Source organism: Homo sapiens, chromosome 11 (assembly GCF_000001405.40).
Source record: "Homo sapiens chromosome 11, GRCh38.p14 Primary Assembly".
NCBI classification, from domain to species: domain Eukaryota; kingdom Metazoa; phylum Chordata; class Mammalia; order Primates; family Hominidae; genus Homo; species Homo sapiens.
The window spans coordinates 29,757,925-29,777,646 of NC_000011.10; the positions used below are offsets into that span (position 1 = coordinate 29,757,925).

The 19,722-nt window shown below is 38.0% G+C and overlaps 2 annotated features.

The window, feature by feature from the left end:
• Nucleotides 16,829-16,998: an enhancer, noted in NCBI's record as "experimental_21146 CRE fragment used in MPRA reporter constructs". NCBI's record gives its function as "activates a minimal promoter by MPRAs in K562 erythroleukemia cells, with activity observed for the introgressed 11:29796385 variant allele {active_cell/tissue: K562}" and the evidence as "EXISTENCE:reporter gene assay evidence [ECO:0000049][PMID:34662402]".
• Nucleotides 18,393-18,562: an enhancer, noted in NCBI's record as "experimental_21149 CRE fragment used in MPRA reporter constructs". NCBI's record gives its function as "activates a minimal promoter by MPRAs in K562 erythroleukemia cells, with activity observed for both the introgressed and non-introgressed 11:29797949 variant alleles {active_cell/tissue: K562}" and the evidence as "EXISTENCE:reporter gene assay evidence [ECO:0000049][PMID:34662402]".

A 19,722-nucleotide genomic window follows, 5' to 3' on the forward strand; every position in this document is an offset into this window, starting at 1 on the left:
GGGCTGTTATAAAGGTTAAATAAATTAATGCATGCAAATCCCTTAAAAACAATGAGAATAATCATTAATTAAATGATGGGTATTATTTTAGATTATGTTTTCACATTTGCAAACACATGAGTATGATATTCTGTAGCAACAGGGTTCATAAGAGCAGGGACTGCTGATTTTCTTCCCTGCCACAAATCCAATGCCTAACATAATTATTAGCCCATGATGGATATTAGTATTAGTTCCTCAGGGCTGCTGTAACAGAGTTTTACAAACTGTGTAGCTTAAAGCAACAGAAATGTATTATCTTACAGTGGTGGAGATTAGACATCCAAAATCAGGTGCTGGCAGGGCCATGCTCCCTCTGAACAGTCAGGAGTAGAATCTTTCCTCTCCTGGCTTCTGGTGGCTGCTGGCAATCCTTGGCTTTCCTTGGCTGAAAGCTGCATTACTCCATTGCTACATGGCCTTCTTCCTGTGTGTCTGTGTCTTTGTGTCCAAATTTTCCTCTTCTTATAAGGACACTAGTCATTTATGATTTAGCTCCTTCCTAATTCAGTAGGATCTCATTTTAACTAATCAGATGCAAAGATGTAATTTCCAAATAAGGTCATATTCTGAGTTGCTGGATGAACATGAACTTAGAGGGGGACACTGTTCAACCCAATACAGTACTTGGTAAATATTTAATTGTATGAATGAACAAATTAGTTCTGATCTGGAGCTGACAAAGTAGGCCTATCACCAAGAGTCATACACAAAAAAGCAAAGCAAGAAGCCACAGTGATTGAGATTCAAGCGTGTGATGCTTCATGGGAGAAATCTCTCCACAGTGAAGTTGGTTAGTGCCAATCAACAATGAACTCAAATTCTACTGGACTGAAATAAAGAGTCATATCCCCGTTGTCTTTCCACACATAAACACAAATACAACTTTGACAGGTTTAGCTGGGATTAAAAAGAAATTGTCAGTTCACATGTAGGCTTTAAACTAGAATTTCAGGTCATGAAAATAGCATTAATTGTGGACATATATCTTAATTTGAGCAAAGAAGCATGTACTAACTCTAGTAACCCAAAGCTGTTATATGAGGATATTGGAAAACCTGCAAAACAGCCATTTGGTTCACTTTGGTGGAAACAACATTATTCTATTGACCTGAATCCTCTGTCTGCAATTATAAACCTGAAGTGCTCCTTACAATATATATTTCACAATACAGATTCTATAAATACAACCTACATGCACATGCCTAGGATGACTAGTAATTTACAATTGCTTTATTCATCTCATAAACCAAAATGGGATAGATACTATATATTAATAAAACATTAATTAGTGTAGAATGACTGAAAATGGGCTTAACAGAAGGCTGGAAGTGGATTAAGGTGCTGCCATATTTACTAGCTACCTATTACTTGTATCTTTATAAGTATGTGGTCCCCATGGAAGATATAATTAAGATTCCATAACGTAATGAAAACAATTTCAATCTAGATAATTCATCATGTGGAAAACAGCAACATATTTTGCTTATTCTCTACTTAAAATTTTAACTCAAGAGGATTTTAAAAATCCTAGTCAAAAGAAATGTTAATGGGCATTAATATTTACTTTTTATCAATATCCTGGTAGGTGTCTCCCTTCCTATTCTTGTTTTGTCTTGTACTTTTTGTATGCAAAATTCATTTATATATGCAAATCAGGAACCAATATAATCCATCATCCCCGTTGCTGTAACATCTGGTGTATTCCAGTAGCCAAAAATGTCTGCTTCAGAGGAGGGAGTTAAATATCCTGAGGTGTGTAATTGCTTGATACCATCCTCAGTTATCAGAAGTAAAGAAGAATTTCTTTCTGATAAGAATATATAATTAGTTTATACTATACCTTAACCTCACAAATTAGCATCAGCCCATAGTTCAGGGTACAGAAAAGAATTAGTTTTGACCTAAAATAAAATTTAACTGGAGGAAAAAGAACAGGAATTCTATCTTCTCTTCTGTGCTGCTTCTGCCACTGAGGCTCAATTGCTGAAGGCAGATAGTTCTTTCAGCAGCAGCAAGCATATTGCTCTGAGGTTTGGGAACTGGTTTCAAAAACATACTCCTCTGATTGAATATTACTATAAGAGAGCATCCTCTACGGCCATGTCAGCAGACACTGCACATTTGACCATTTCAGCTCAGTGATCCCTGATCTATTGCCAGAAAGGATGGGTCAGTGGTGGCAAAGGATAAAAAACCCACAGATCTGAACTGAGAGAAGAGAGATGAGGGCTAGATTGTCTCAAGGAAATGGTGTCGATTTAAAAGTATTAATGCATCCCCTTGGCAAAATAACAACTGGATATAAAGGATTTTTCATGTTTTAAGAAGTAAAGCACACACATAACAAAAATTCTACAAAAAATCAGAATAGTATTTTATCATTTCTTCTTTAGTTTTGCAATCCTAACAACTATCACATCCTCAGAGTAATGCAGATTACTAACGTCAGGGCAAAAGGGCTCACAAAACATTCTCAAAAGAACTATCAAATAATTTACATCTGCACTAAATGTGTAAGCGAAATTCTCTTTGTGCTTTCAGTGTTGTAAAAAGGGATTTGTTTTCAGATCGATTCCTTTTGAAAGACCTTTAGCTACTTAATAAATTGTGCCAATCCTTATTAATTTTTCTCTTATTCTGTCTCTGCTAAAACCTTATGACCTGACTCTTACATCCTACTGTACAAGTGTATCCACTCTTCATCTTATTTTGTTATTCCTAAGGAGCCTTCCGTGCTTTGAAAACAGAATGATCAAATAGCTTTTGCTACCACAGTATGGAACTATGAACTGGGAACTTTCGTTTTACCTACCCGACTGATTTCTTGCAATTGAATCATTATCTAATTTATGCCTAAAAATATGTGTGTCAATATGGGCAACATTAAAGGAGTAAAAACTTTTATACTATTTTTCCAAAGTTGTATGTCAATAAGATGTTTGTTTGGGCATTCATAATGTAAAGAAAATAATGGCAAAGCAAGAAAAACTGAGATTTATGTAAAGCTAAGATTTATTGTCAAACTGTCCCCCAGACTTAAAATTTCGTGGCTCCTTAAATCCTCCAGGATCCTCTATCTTAAAGATCCACTGTATAATTCACTTTTCTGAACCTTACCAAAAGAGGGCCAATGAATGTTATCAATTTCTTTGCCTAACCATTCAATGGGTGACGGTGGGACAATTTTTTTAACTTCTCAGCAACATCTTTATTAATTTCTGATGCTTTAATTTAGTGAAAAGACTAATAAAGGTGAAGCAAAGAGCTGGTTGGTTATCCTCAATCACATAACTTTCAAGTTATCAGTACTGGTTTTTGGTAATAGAATCCAAGAAGACTGAATTTACTTTGTTTACGTCTGTATGACTTGGACAATAGCTACAGCCATTCAGAAAGAAAGAGAGGACTTTGTAAATGACAACTGTTCCAATTTTAAGAGAGCTGGTGTATTTGTACATTTTCATGCTGCCAATACATACCTGATACTGTGCAATTTATAAAGGAAAGAGATTTAATGGACTCACAGTTCAACATGTCTGGAAAGGTCTCATATTCATGGCAGAAGGTGAAGGAAGAACAAAGGCACATCTTACGTGGTGGCAGGCAAGACAGCATGTGTAGGGGAACTCCCGTTTATAAAACCACCAAATTTCATGAGATTTATTCACTATCATGAGAACAGCATGGGAATAACCCATCCCCCATGATTCAATTACCCACTGGGTCCCTCCCATGACATGTGGGGATCTTGGGAGCTACACTTAAAGATGAGATTTGGGTGGGGATAAAGCCAAACCATATCACCTGGTGTTTTCGAAATAGTCTCATTTTCAGTTGTATATTTTAAAAAAAGAAAGGAAAACATCAAGCCAATTGCCTAAGAACTGTGTTGAATAGTGTTCCTCCAAAATTCATATCCACCTGAAACTTCAGAATGTGGCTATATGAAAATAGGGTCTTTGTAGATTAAGTTTAAGTTTAAATGAAGACATACTAAAGTGGGCCTTCATCCAATGACGGGTATCCTTACCAGAAGAGAAAACAGAGACAATCATAGAAAAGGTGGCTATGTGATGATGGAAGAAGAGATTGAAGTAATGCATCTAAAGCCAAGAAATGCCAAGAATTGCCTGCAACCACCGGAAGTTAGGAAGAAGTTAGGAAAAATCATTTGTTAGAGTTTTTAGCAAGAACATGGCTTTTCCAACACCTTGATTTTGGACTTCTAGCCTCCAGAACTGTAACATAATAAATTTATGTTGTTTTAAGCCCCTTAGTGTGTGATACTTTTTTACAGCAGCCATCAGAAATTAATATAGGCCATGATTGCATCTCTACTCAGTGTGACCCTCTCTACTCATGTCATACCAGGAATCCAAAGACGGATTTCATAGTTTCTCTAGTTAGGAAATCTGTCCCCAGAAATTCTACCACCTCCCTCACTGCCATATTTTTACCTCTTACTGAAGAATGCATCAAAAGAATGGCCAACTCTAGTCCCCTGAGATATCAAGTCTAAAGAATTCTTAAATAGAATCATGACAATTACTACTATTATGTTTATTATAACATGATCTAACAAAATAAAATTCTCCTAATTCACCCCGTTCCAATAAAATAGAAGTATCTGTTGACGTCGGTGATGGTATTCATCACTGAATATTGTCAGGTTTTTCAGTAGCTCAAAGTACCAAAAGTAGGTAGTTGTTCTCCTTGTTGTCAGGTCCCAAAGATCCTGGGAGTAGGTCGGGGCGGGGGGTCCTAATTATCATGGTTTTCAGAAACCTCTCCTCAAAATGTTGGTCCCAGTGTGTAGTAGCCTCTGGTGATGTAACTTCTGCTGTTAGCAATGGTGGCAATTACCCGGGACAGTAGCTCCTAATGTGGATTTCATTTTGTATTTTTTTTAGGTTCCCACTGTCCCTTTGGTGTATCTCACATCCTCAAACAGTGTCTAAGTTCTTTAATAACTGACATCACAGTGTAACTCTCATTACATCACTTCAGAGATTGCTCACTGCAGGATTTCTAGAGACTTCAAGGGTAATAGTTATCACTGAATCCATATCAGAATCATTTGGAAAGCTTCTTTAAAACAGAGATTTGTAGGCTCAGCCCACAAAAGTCTGTAAAGCCCTGAGGGTTGAATAATTCTAACATGGTAGGACCATGGCCCTGTGTTTGAGAACTTCGACTCTAATGCTAGCCTAGAGTGTTCTTTCATGCAACAAACTTAATTTTAGGAAGTGTCACTAACAGCTCACAGTTCTATTTTTCTAACTAGTCCCTTAGCCAACAGTCTCTGTTTCTTGAGTATCTCAAATTCCTTTCCCATCAGGGTCTTTGCACTTTATGTTTTTTTTTTTTTTTTTGGAAACATCTCTGCCTTTCATCATCATGTCTCTGCTTTCTTCTCATCACTAAAGCCTTAATTCCATGTTTCCCTTCTCAAAGAGATGTCTTCTCTGACTAGCCATTAAAAGTAGTGACTCTTCCTCATTCAGTCTCCTCTTATTCTGTATTTTTTTCACATCAAGTACCAGTAGCTGAAATTATATTACTTATATATGTCTTTCATGGATTAGTTTTATTTTCCCAGCACTGCACTGTGTTCACAATGGAGCACCAGCCCTTATCCATTGGTCCCAGAAGTACAGCCAATATTCAAAAGTGTCTGACACAAAATAGAAATGCAATAAATTGAATGCATATAAAAAGGAAATAATGTATGTTTCACATTACTTGATATCTAATTAGCAACATAACTTGGGACAACAAACAATTATTCTGGAATATCTCTTAACTCCCTTGGCTTAAACCATTGAGGGATGCCAAATACGTACATGAACACAATCATCACCACCAAGAAGTTTCCTAGAGTTTCCATCTTGTTAGAGTATACAGATTACTTGAACTGAAGTATACAGATTACTTGATAAACATCCCTAATTCCTCTTTCAACACTCCCTACCCACCTTGTCTATATTTATACATATATTAAAACTGCATCCTAGAATCAAGACTGGGTATTGAACAATTGTTTAAAACAGATGTAACAACTAAATCTTATTAGTAACCCTTAATAATGTTAGCATTAAAATGTCCTAAAATATGAACAAATCAAGACACTTATCCAAAGGATGCTCCAAGTGTTTGACACTTCTTTTTTCCTTTATAGGTTGTGACTAGAGTTCGCAAATGTTCATTTCTGGTGAGTAATTAATAATGAAATCACTTTCTGAACTATTGTCTAAGAAACTCAGTCAGACTTCTTCAGCCCTTCTACATTTTAAATTAAATCCAGAATGACTTTGGTGCGGCTGGTAAGGTGATTTACTTTCCTTCTATATGTAGCACAATAAACTTGTTTCTGGAGAATTAGTGTTTTACTTCACATCCAGGCCAATCCAGACCCCAAAAATCCATCAAGTAAGTCTCACTAAACAAATATTAAAATCCTTGAAAAGAACAAACTTTAGTTATAGGTATGATATAAACAGTCTACAAAGGCCATGTAGAAAGAAATATATTGTATTGCTTAGTGGAATTTTCATTATAGAAGTGTACACAATGTACGCTTCTTTCATGTTCTTTTCATAAAAATTGGCTACTATAAATGAAAATGGGCTTATTGCAAGTAAAATTGAAGCCTATATTTGCCATGAGAAGAAAATCTACTCATTGTTATCAGAAAATGTACTCATTATTAGGAAAAAAAAGAATATTGACTGTATAGGTACTACATATTAGTCATTTCATAAGAAGCTTTATATATGTTATTTTTACATAGTGTGCTATGGTTTGAATGTGGTATGTCACCACCAAACCTCATGTTCAAATTTGATCTCCACTCTAGCAATGCAGAATGGTGGGGTCCAGACGGAGGTGTCACGGGGTGGATCTTTCACGCATAGATTAGTGCTCTTATGCTGGTCTGACTGAGTTCTTGCCCTCTTGGGAAAAGATTAGTTCCTGAGACAGTGAATTGTTAAAAAGAGTATGCCTTCCTTTTTTTCTCTTGCTTCTTCTCTTGCCATGTGTTCTCTGCACACACCTGATCCTCTTCTTAATTCTGCTTTCCGCCTTGAGTGGAAGCAGCATGAGGCCCTTACCAAATTAAGCTGCCCAATTTTGGACTTTTCAGACACAGGAATCATGAGCCAAATAAACCTCTTTTCTTCATCTGTTACCCAGCATTGGGTCTTTGATTATACAACACAAAACAGACTAACACATAGTGCAAACAACCCTGGCTATATATACCAAAACTCCATTTTTAAATGAGTAAATTTAGTCTCAGAAAAGTCATCAAAGCTAGTTAGAGAAAGAACTTGGAAAGTAACTATGACCTCAAAGTCCATACTGTTTTCCTTATCTCATGTTGATTCTCTTTGTGCTAATGACAGCCTATGTTAGTATAACCTCAATTTTTAAATCAGCTACAAAGACTTCATGAAAACTTTGTCTCATAGGAATATTGCAGCACTATTTAGCAAGTTCTAAGACTGTTTCATTTTTCTTTTTTTCTTTTTAAGACAGTTTCTTGACATGATCTACCATGGAGAAAAATTGTGCTTAAAACACGGCACTTTCTAACAACTTAATCATTGAACATATTTGGTCATTCATAATATACCATATTATTCTTTTAGTATTGTTCAAATCTTTTATACTTTTAATGGTCTAGCCACTTCTTTTTCTTTTTTTTTATTATTATTATACTTTAAGTTTTAGGGTACATGTGCACAATGTGCAGGTTCATTACATATGTATACATGTGCCATGTTGGTGGGCTGCACCCATTAACTCATCATTTAGCATTAGGTATATCTCATAATGCTATCCCTCCCCCCTCCCCCCACCCCACAACAGTCCCCAGTGTGTGATGTTCCCCTTCCTGTGTCCATGTGTTCTCATTGTTCAATTCCCACCTATGAGTGAGAACATGCAGTGTTTGGTTTTTTATCCTTGTGATAGTTTGCTGAGAATGATGGTTTCCAGCTTCATCCATGTCCCTACAAAGGACATGAACTCATCCTTTTTTATGGCTGCATAGTATTCCATGATGTATATGTGCCACATTTTCTTAATCCAGTCTATCATTGTTGGACATTTGAGTTGGTTCCAAGTCTTTGTTTTTGTGAATAGTGCCACTATAAACATACGTGTGCATGTGTTTTTATAGTAGCATGATTTATAATCCTTTGGGTATATGCCCAGCAATGGGATGCCTGGGTCAAATGGTATTTCTAGTTCTAGATCCCTGAGGAATCACCACGCTGACTTCCACAATGGTTGAACTAGTTTACAGTCCCACCAACAGTGTAAAAGTGTTCCTATTTCTCCACATCCTCTCCAGCACCTGTTGTTTCCTGACTTTTTAATGATTGCCATTCTAACTAGTGTGAGATGATATCTCATTGTGGTTTTGATTTGCATTTCTCTGATGGCCAGTGATGATGAGCATTTTTTCATGTGTCTTTTGGCTGCATAAATGTCTTCTTTTGAGAAGTGTCTGTTCATCTCCTTCACCCACTTTTTGATGGGGTTGTTTGTTTTTTTCTTGTAAATTTGTTTGAGTTCATTGTAGATTCTGGATATTAGCCCTTTGTCAGATGAGTAGATTGCAAAAATTTTCTCCCATACTGTAGGTTGCCTGTTCACTCTGATGGTAGTTTCTTTTGCTGTGCAGAAGCTCTTTAGTTTAATTAGATCCCATTTGTCAATTTTGGCTTTTGTTGCCATTGCTTTTGGTGTTTTAGACATGAAGTCCTTGCCCATGCCTATGTCCTGAATGGTATTGCCTAGGTTTTCTTCTAGGGTTTTTATGGTTTTAGGTCTAACATTTAAGTCTTTAATCCATCTTGAATTAATTTTTGTATAAGGTGTAAGGAAGGCATCCAGTTTCAGCTTTCTACATATGGCTAGTCAGTTTTCCCAGCACCATTTATTAAATAGGGAATCCTTTCCCCATTTCTTGTTTTTGTCAGGTTTGTCAAAGATCTGATGGTTGTAGATATGCGGCATTATTTCTGAGAGCTCTGTTCTGTTCCATTGATCTATATCTCTGTTTTGGTACCAGTACCATGCTGTTTTGGTTACTGTAGCCTTGTAGTATAGTTTGAAGTCAGGTAGTGTGATGCCTCCAGCTTTGTTCTTTTGGCTTAGGATTGACTTGGCAATGCGAGCTCTTTTTTGGATCCATGTGTACTTTAAAGTAGTTTTTTCTAATTCTGTGAAGAAAGTCATTGGTAGCTTCATGGGGATGGCACTGAATCTATAAATTACGTTGGGCAGTATGGCCATTTTCACGATATTGATTCTTCCTACCCATGAGCATGGAATGTTCTTCCATTTCTTTGTATCCTCTTTTATTTCATTGAGCAGTGGTTTGTAGTTCTCCTTGAAGAGGTCCTTCACATCCCTTGTAAGATGGATTCCTAGGTATTTTATTCTCTTTGAAGCAATTGTGAATGGGAGTTCACTCATGATTTGGCTCTCTGTTTGTCTGTTATTGGTGTATAAGAATGCTTGTGATTTTTGCACATTGATTTTGTATCCTGAGACTTTGATGAAGCTGCTAATCAGCTTGAGATTTCAGGCTGAGACAATGGGGTTTTCTAGATATACAATCATGTCATCTGCAAACAGGGACAATTTGACTTCCTCTTTTTCTAATTGAATGCCCTTTATTTCGTTCTCCTGCATGATTGCCCTGGCCAGAACTTCCAACACTATGTTGAATAGGAGTGGTGAGAGAGGGCATCCCTGTCTTGTGCCAGTTTTCAAAGGGAATGCTTCCAGTTTTTGCCCATTCAGTATGATATTGGCTGTGGGTTTGTCATAGATAGCTCTCATTATTTTGAGATACGTTCCATCAATACCTAATTTATTGAGAGTTTTTAGCATGAAGGGTTGTTGAATTTTGTCAAAGGCCTTTTCTTCATCTATTGAGATAATCGTGTGGTTTTTGTCTTTGGTTCTGTTTATATGCTGGATTACATTTATTGATTTGTGTATGTTGAACCAGCCTTGCATCCCAGGGATGAAGCCCACTTGATCATGGTGGATAAACTTTTTGATGTGTTGCTGGATTCAGTGTGTCAGTATTTTATTGAGGATTTTTGCATCAATGTTCATCAAGGATATTGGTCTAAAATTCTCTTTTTTTTTGGTGTGTCTCTGCCAGGCTTTGGTATCAGGATGATGCTGGCCTCATGAAATGAGTTAGGGAGAATTCCCCCTTTTTCAATTGATTGGAATAGTTTCAGACGGAATGGTACCAGCTCCTCTTTGTACCTCTGGTAGAATTCGGCTGTGAATCCATCTCGTGCTGGACTTTTTTTGGTTGGTAAGCTATTAATTATTGCCTCAATTTCAGAGCCTGTTATTGGTCTATTCAGAGATTCAACTTCTTCCTGGTTTAGTCTTGGAAGAGTATTTGTGTCAAGGAATTTATCTTCTAGATTTTCTAGTTTATTTGCGTAGAGGTGTTTATAGTATTCTCTGATGGTAGTTTGTATTTCTGTGGGATCAGTGGTGATACCCCCTTTGTCGCTTTATATTGCATCTATTTGATTCTTCTCTCTTTTCTTCTTTATTAGACTTGCCAGTGGTCTATCAATTTTGTTGATCTTTTCAAAACACCAGCTCCTGCATTCATTGATTTTTTGAAGGGTTTTTTGTGTCTCTATTTCCTTCAGCTCTCCTCTGATCTTATTTATTTCCTGCCTTCTGCTAGCTTTTGAATGTGTTTCCTCTTGCTTCTCTAGTTCTTTTAATTGTGATGTTACGGTGTCAATTTTAGATCATTCCTGCTTTCTCTTCTAGGCATTTAGTGCTATAAATTTCCCTCTGCACACTGCTTTGAATGTGTCCCAGAAATTCTGTTACGTTGTGTCTTTGTTCTCATTGGTTTCAAAGAACATCTTTATTTCTGCCTTCATTTAGTTATGTACCCAGTAGTCATTCAGGAACAGGTTGTTCAGTTTCCATGTAGCAGAGCAGTTTTGAGTGAGTTTCCTAATCCTGAGTTCTAGTTTGATTGCGCTGTGGTCTGAGAGACAGTTTGTTATAATTTCTATTCTTTTACATTTGCTGAGGAGTGCTTTACTTCCAACTATGTGGTCAATTTTGGAATAGGTGTGGTGTGGTGCTGAAAAGAATGTATATTCTGTTTATTTGAGGTGAAGAATTCTGTAGATGTCTATTAGTTCTGCTTGGTGCAGAGCTGAGTTCAATTCCTGGGTATCCTTGTTAACTTTCTGTCTCATTGATCTGTCTAATGTTGACAGTGGGGTATTAAAGTCTCCCATTATTATTGTGTGGGAGTCTAAGTCACTTTGTAGGTCACTAAGGACTTGCTTTATGAATCTGAGTTCTCCTGTATTGGGTGCATATATATTTAGGATAGTTAGTTCTTGTTGAATTGATCCCTTTACCATTATGTAATGGCCTTCTTTGTCTCTTTTGATCTTTGTTGGTTTAAAGTCTGTTTTATCAGAGACTAGGATTGCAACCCCTGCCTTCTTTTTGTTTTCCATTTGCTTGGTAGATCTTCCTCCATCCCTTTATTTTGAGCCTAAGTGTGTCTCTGCATGTGAGATGGGTTTCCTGAATACAGCACACTGATGGGTCTTGACTCTTTATCCAATTTGCCAGTCTGTGTCTTTTAATTAGAGCATTTAGCTGCCCATTTACATTTAAGGTTAGTATTGTTATGTGTGAATTTGGTCCTGTCATTATGATGTTAGCTGGTTATTTTGCTCGTTACTTGATGCAGTTTCTTCCTAGCCTTGATGGTCTTTACAATTTGGCATGTTTTTGCAGTGGCTGGTACCAGTTGTTCCTTTCCATGTTTAGTGCTTCCTTCAGGAGCTCTTTTAGGGCAGGTCTGGTGGTGCCAAAATCTCTCAGCATTTGCTTGTCTGTAAAGTATTTTATTTCTCCTTCACTTATGAAGCTTAGTTTGGCTGGATATGAGATTCTGGGTTGAAAATTCTTTTCTTTAAGAATGTTGAATATTGGCCCCCACTCTCTTCTGGCTTGTAGAGTTTCTGCTGAGAGATCAGCTGTTAGTCTGATGGGCTTCCCTTTGTGGGTAACCTGACCTTTCTCTCTGGCTGCCCTTAACATTTTTTCCTTCATTTCAACTTTGGTGAATCTGTCAATTATGTGTCTTGGAGTTGCTCTTCTCGAGGAGTATCTTTGTGGTGTTCTCTGTATTTCCTGAATTTGAATGTTGGCCTGCCTTGCTAGACTGGGAAAGTTCTCCTGGATAATATCCTGCAGAGTGTTTTCCAACTTGGTTCCATTCTCCCCGTCACTTTCAGGCACACCAATGAGACGTAGATTTGGTCTTTTCACATAGTCCCATATTTCTTGGAGGCTTTGTTTGTTTCTTTTTATTCTTTTTTCTCTAAACTTCTCTTCACACTTCATTTCATTCATTTCGTCTTCTATCACTGATACCCTTTCTTCCAGTTGATCCCGTCAGTTACTGAGGCTTGTGCATTCGTCACGTAGTTTTCACACTGTGGTTTTCAGCTCCATCAGGTCCTTTAAGGACTGCTGTGCATTGGTTATTCTAGTTATCCATTCATCTAATTTTTTTTTCAAGGTTTTTAACTTCTTTGCCATTGGTTCGAACTTACTCCTGTAGCTCATAGCTCAGAGTAGTTTGATCTTCTGAAGCCTTCCTCTCTCAACTCGTCAAAGTCATTCTCCATCCAGCTTTGTTCCATTGCTAGTGAGGAGCTGTGTTCCTTTGGAGGAGTAGAGGCGCTCTGATTTTTAGAGTTTCCAGTTTTTCTGCTCGTTTTTTCCCCATCTTTGTGGTTTTATCTACTTTTGGTCTTTGATGATGGTAATGTACAGATGGGTTTTTGGTGTGAATGTCCTTTCTGTTTGTTAGTTTTCCTTCTAACAGTCAGGACCCTCAGCTGCAGGTCTACTGGAGTTTACTGGAAGTCCACTCCAGACCCTGTTTGCCTGGGTATCAGCAGCAGTGGCTACAGAACAGCAGATATTGGTGAACTGCAAATGCTGCTGCCTGATCGTTCCTCTGGAAGTTTTGTCTCAGAGGAGTACCCGGCCGTGTGACGTGTCAGTCTGCCCTTACTGGGGGGTGTCTCCCAGTTAGGCTACTCGGGGGTCAGGGACCCACTTGAGGAGGCAGTCTGCCCATTCTCAGATCTCAAGCTGCATGCTGGGAGAACCACTGCTCTATTCAAAGCTGTCAGACAGGGACATTTAAGTCTGCAGTGGTTATTACTGTCTTTTGTTTGTCTGTGCCCTGCCCCCAGAGGTGGAGCCTACAGAGGCAGGCAGGCCTCCTTGAGCTGTGGTGGGCTCCACCCAGTTCGAACTTCCTGGCCGCTTTGTTTACCTACTCAAGCCTGAGCTATGGTGGGCACCCCTCCCCCGCCTCGCTGCCACCTTGCACTTTGATCTCAGACTGCTGTGCTAGCAATGAGCAAGGCTCTGTGGGCATAGGACCCTCTGAGCCATGTGAGGGATATAATCTCCTGGTGTGCCGTTTGATAAGCCCATTGGAAAACCACAGTATTAGGGTGGGAGTGACCTGATTTTTCAGGCCATCTGTCACCCCTTTCTTTGAGTAGGAAAGGGAATTCCCTGACCCCTTGTGCTTCCTGGGTGAGGTGATGCCTCACCCTGCTTCAGCTCATGCACAGTGCACTGCACCTACTGTCCTGCACCCACTATCCAGCACTCCCCAGTGAGAGGAACCCAGTACCTCAGTTGGAAATGCAGAAATCACCCATCTTATGTGTCGCTCATGCTGGGAGCTGTAGACTGGAGCTGTTCCTATTCAGCCATCTTGGCTCCCCTCTGTTATTTTTCTAAAATGCTTCAAAAATAACACATATCCTCCCCCAGTTCCTCTTAATACCACCTTACCTCTCCTTTCAAACTAAAGTTGTTTTGGTTTGCTCTTTCTTATTTGAAGATTGTTTTTCTGAATCCATATGCCAAAACCATTCCTTCACCCATTGAGTAACTTGTATTTTTCCCCCAAATATTATGTTTTAGGGCCTTTGATTTGTTCTCTTTGATTCTGACCTGACTGAAGCAATGGTCTTTGATCTTGACTGGATCAGGTCTTCCAAATCTCCTAATGAGATATTAGGCTTTGGGTGGAAATAGAAATAATAAAAAGACAATGATTTGAAGAAAACATAAAAAATCAGGAAAAGGTTGCATAGTCTCTACTATAACCATCAATTCATATTTATTCAATACCTACTGGATACATGATATGAACTAGAAAAAATAAAAATTCAATTATCAGCTAGCTGACTAATTAAAAATTGGCTAAATAGTACCTTCAGAGTCACAGGCAACTAGAAATAGAAGGACTTTAGAGATCATCCACTCAAACCATGCCATTTTTTAAATGATCAGAAAGTTAAATGTTAAATGTTAAATGCTCCAGACTAGGGCCTGGATCAGACACTTAGGTGATGCCAAAAATTCCACGTAAGCTCAAACATTTTCCAATAGATTTACAGTCTGGGAGAATTTCAGGAGGATTTAACAAAAATACAAAATGATCAGAACAAGTTTGTAGGATAAAAAGATAAAATCAAAGATTTGTGAAGTAGTTAGAAAGGCCATGGAAGAAACACTGTCATTCCGACTTTATATTTTACTGGTTAAAGCATGGATTTAGATCTCTATTTTACTTCCTAGGCGTATCATATGTTACCTTGGGCAGGTTGATTAATCTGTCTCCATATATTTAATATAAAATGGATTTGATAATGTCAAAAATGTGATCAGAATAATAAATAAAATAATGCATATTTATTTCTTAGGGATTGAATTTGGCTGCATGTATATAAAATCCATTTACAAAGTTTCACCCAATGGGTGAAATGTATTTCACAAACTCAGCCTATACGTAGGCATTTCAGGGTTGGCACAGATGTGCTAGGCTCCTTCTATCCTCCTGCTCCATTGTCCTTTATATGAGGTTGCATCCCCATGGTGGCCTGACAGGAACTAAAAGGCTGCTCAACTCAATGTTCACATATGCACTTCAGGTAGAAAACAGAAGAAACTAGGGAGAGGCAGGACTTTCCCAGAAATCTTTAGCAGACTTCTCAATCTAAATCTTTAGCCAGAACTTTGTCACATGGCTCTTCAAGACAAACTAAGAAAAGTAGCTCTTAAGCCAGGCACAAAATTTAGGAGTCTGTTAATACAGAAGCATGAATACAGGAAAGACAATTGACCATATCTACTCCAACAATTAAGGTAGTTATCACTGTGCCTGGCATATAATAAGTACTCAAGAATATGACATATTATTATTAATACAAACAAGGCTCCAGGAAAAAATGGGATTGCCTACCATATTTCAGTATTGTGACAGAGAGTTGTATGTATGTTGTTTTATTCAATTACCACCATGACCCTATAAAGTAATTCAGTTTGGTATGCCAATAATGTTTTGGAGTAAAAAACATTAATGCTTAAAGAGAAGTGAAAAATCTTGTCTATGTTCCCCCACTAGGCAATGACTGAGCTGCTATTCAAATTCAAGTCCATTTGACTCCAGAAGTCCATTTTTCTGCTCATACTTCCACTCTGTGTCACTTTTTTTTTTTTTTTTTTTTTTGCCAAGGAGAATGACACCATGGATACTATACTGTTTCCTGAAGTGATCTTTCTTGGACTTGATTCAAGTCCTTGGACTTGAATTTCTTGGACTTGATTGGTCTTCTAGAGACAGGCCATTCTAAGCTGTGAGGTGTGAGTACGAGCTGTCAGTAAGGTACTTAGGAGTAATGTGAGATTGAAAACACAGGCAGCAGATCCAAAGGAACATTCCTAACAGACATATGACTCATTTGGAGCCTGCTCCACAGCACATGCAGCCCCCGCACACTCAGTACCTTAGAACTGAACAATGCACTCCCACACCTCATTCCTGAGATACGCAATCTTCTTACTGCCAATGGATCAATAGGAGCAAATATACTGCACAAATGAGTCACATGGTGTACTTGTCAGCATGTCTGTGCAACAGAACTCTGAGTGCTTCTGGGTTTTTGGAAGACCATTACGAGGTAGGATTTCTCACTTCCTTCCTAGATTGGAGGCATAGTTGGCTGTGCCTCTCTAATCTCCCTGAGACTCTCTCAGAAGGTTTTCAACAATAAACAGGAAAGAACTATGCTCAAATAATAAGTGATAATTTACCCCTGACTATTACATAAAAGAGGTTTCAGATTAAGTTAAATGAGTACCCCACCACCACCATTTCCAAAGTATCTGAAAAATATTAAAGATGACACATGATTTGTAGGACACAATAACTTGAAGAAATGTGTGAACACTCCCCAGTCTACATGTGTGGATAAAAATAAAAATTAGTGATTTGAGTGGACTGAGAATAAACAGACTGAACAGACATACCAAACCAGATGTGGATAGATGTGAGCATGATCTTCTCTTACATGATTCTTTTTTAGAGCTGATGGAAAAACTGAAGTGCATGGTAGTCTTAGGAGACTCTTCACTAACATGGGCAATAATAACCCCTGCAGCCATTGTTCCTAAGTGTTGATATTCATATGGTTGGAATAACAGGAGCCTCCTTAAAATGGCTGAAGTAACAGGAAATATTTATTATACCTATTATTTATTCAAAGTCTACTTCTTCAGACCTCCAGTGTAGTTCCACTCTTTTACAGTGTTGAAAAAACAGTAGTGAAACAAATACAGAAGCTATCTGTTGTGGTATATTCTATTAAGAGAATCTGATCAAAAAAGAAAAAAAAACTCAAACAGCAATACCCATGTTGTGCTAAATGCTGTGAGGAAAACAAGCAGAGTGACCTAAGGTAAAGAGCATGACAAGAGCTATTAAGGGAATGTTTCTGCTAGGAAGTGACATTCAAGATGAAATGAGAATGGCCTAAGGAGTTAGCCATGTTGAGGCCCTGACAAGAGTACCCATTAATTCAAGAGTAGAAGTGTGGAGCCCAAAACTGAAAACTGAAAAGTTATCAGGGACTACAAAGTCATCAGGAACCAAAACAGCCATTCTCTCAAGGGCTAAACCATGCCCATCTCTGCGTTTTTTCTGTGCTTATCCTTAATTCTGTCTTTAACCCAACTGTATCAGTACTGCCTGACAAAAGTTCATCTAGATAACTGATCAGAGTTACTATCTTACAAATTTAAATTTCAAGAAGAATCTGTTTGGCTCAACTTGAGCCAGCTGACCAGTTTTGACTCAATGATCTGTGACCTGTTGGACACATTTCCAACCTCTGCTCTTCATGAAGTGGGGTGAGAAGAGAGAAATGTTGGCTCTCTAAAAAGGGCTTATGGAGTTCAGTAAAGTGGATTTTTTGAGAACATTCTGTTCTTTAATTCTTCAGTGGTTCATCTCACTATTCTCTCATCTATCCATTAACCAAGTTAATACATGATTAAAGAGTTCACTATATTCCTGTTAGTCTTTATCTAGGTGCAGGGGTTTGGGTGAGGAGACGAGTAGTACAGAACTGGGATGCAAATACAGGAGGGTACATTCTACTAGAAAAGTCAAATACAGAAATATCTATAATTTAGAGATGAAAATTCCATAAGAGGCACACAAATATATTAAGGCGTTTTAGCACAGACAGAAAGACGCATACCTTTGTTCATTAATCATATATGGGTTCTCATTTCTCAGAGAAATAGTCGACATAAAGTTCCAAGCCATGGGCAGGATTTTCAATGTGCCATTGCCTTCTCATGACATCCTGTAAAGTTAACTTCCATCAGAAAAGTAAACATAGCAGGGGAGGTAATGGGTTTCTGTCAGGGAAAGTGTGGAGAAGCCAGAAGGCTAAGTGCTATATCAATAATAAATGTGTATGAATACACTATGGCTTGTAATTAAACCAGGCTTTCCCAAGAGTCAATAGGGTTCTTCAGAAACATGATTATCTTTGCCAGGATACTGCTGTGCTGGTGTAAGAATGCAGCTGAGATTTTTTGATGGATTATACTAGTACATCACTTTATATTTCCTCAACTAAATTCACACTTATGATCAAATTCACATCTAAAATTAACTATTGCATTGGGAGTTTTGGAATCAAACCTTTATTATCTCCATTATCAAAAGTAACATTTTACCCCCCTTTGTAGGAGAAAAATTATCTGAGCTAACGTTTAAGAGATTAAGATGTGAGGAATTATTAGTCACCTTATATAGATATAATAGGATGTTAAACATTATTTTTTTTCTGTTCTTTGCAAGTCCTGTAGAAGCTTCAACAGTTGAAGACAATACAATAGGCAGTGGTCCTCATAATTAGGATACATTGAAGCTGTTGATAATGGACCTTCAATCTTTAGTTCATCAACCACTTAGAGGTTGCAGGTTTAAGATGTGGGTGGAAAAGAATACTTGGAAGAGGTTTTCTCAATCACTAAACCATCACCATGAATGTTGAGAGAAGGGTGTCTCTTTTTCATCTAAAACTAAATGAGAAGTTTTAGGAGAAACACTGAAAAGCTTGGCTGTGGTTTGAGTTGATGGTAGTGGCACAGAAAGGGAAGATACAGACTGAGGAGAGAGTTGTAAGTGGACAAATAGAGAAGATTTCACTTTCAGTGGCTCTATCTGTATTAGGGGAGGTTCCTATGAGAAGAACCACTGAAGACCCCAAAAAGGGCTGTTCGTAATAGAAACCCTCAGCTTTGGCACTACCAAACACAGGCATTAACAAAATCCGAATGTGGCTTCTAGATCTTCTTGTCCAAATCCATCAAGGCCTGACTCTAGAGGGACCCCCAATAGTAGCAAATGAATGAGAATAAAAAATGGAGAGAGGAAGAATCAACCAAAATCTTCCTTCCCTTTAGTGAATAAGCCTCAACTGGGCAAAGTCAGAAGGCTAAAATTGAGTAGGAGTTTTTATTAGACTGGGCTGGTTAGTTTTACTATCTGAGAATGACCAGAAGAGTTATAAGCTGTGCCTGAGATTTTATTCAGGGAAGCAGTACATTGTAGTTTTAAGGTGTGTCTACAAATTCTTTGATACTCCTTCCTTCAAATGGTAGAGTTTAACCCACTTCATCTTGAGTGTGGGCTAGACTTAATGACTTTCTTCTAAAGAAAAGACTATAAAGGAAGTAAGTTGGGCACAGTGGTGTATGCTTGTAATCCCAGCTACTTGGGAGGCTAAAGCAGGAGGATTACTTGAGCACATGGATTTGAATCCAGCCTGAGCAACATAATGAGACCTCGTCTCTGGAAAAAAAATAAAAATCAAATATGGAAAAAGTGATGGAGTATGACTAGGGACTATGTTGTAAAAGACATCACATTAGCTTCTTCCTTGCCTTCTTGCATAGATTAGTCACTTTAGAGTAAGCCAGTTGTCATGCCATGAGGACACTCAAGCAAGTCTATGGGGTCTCTGTGTTGAGAGCTGAGAGCTTCTACCCAGAGACATATTAGTGACCCAGCTTGAAAGTGAGTTTTCCAGACTTAGTCAAGTCTTCAGATAACTATAAACCCCATTGACATTATGACTATAGCCACAATAGAGTGTGAGAGCCAGAACCACCTGACTAAGCTGTTTCTAGATTTCTGACTTTCAGAAACTGTGTAAGATATTGCGTGTTTGTTATTATAAGCTGCCAAAT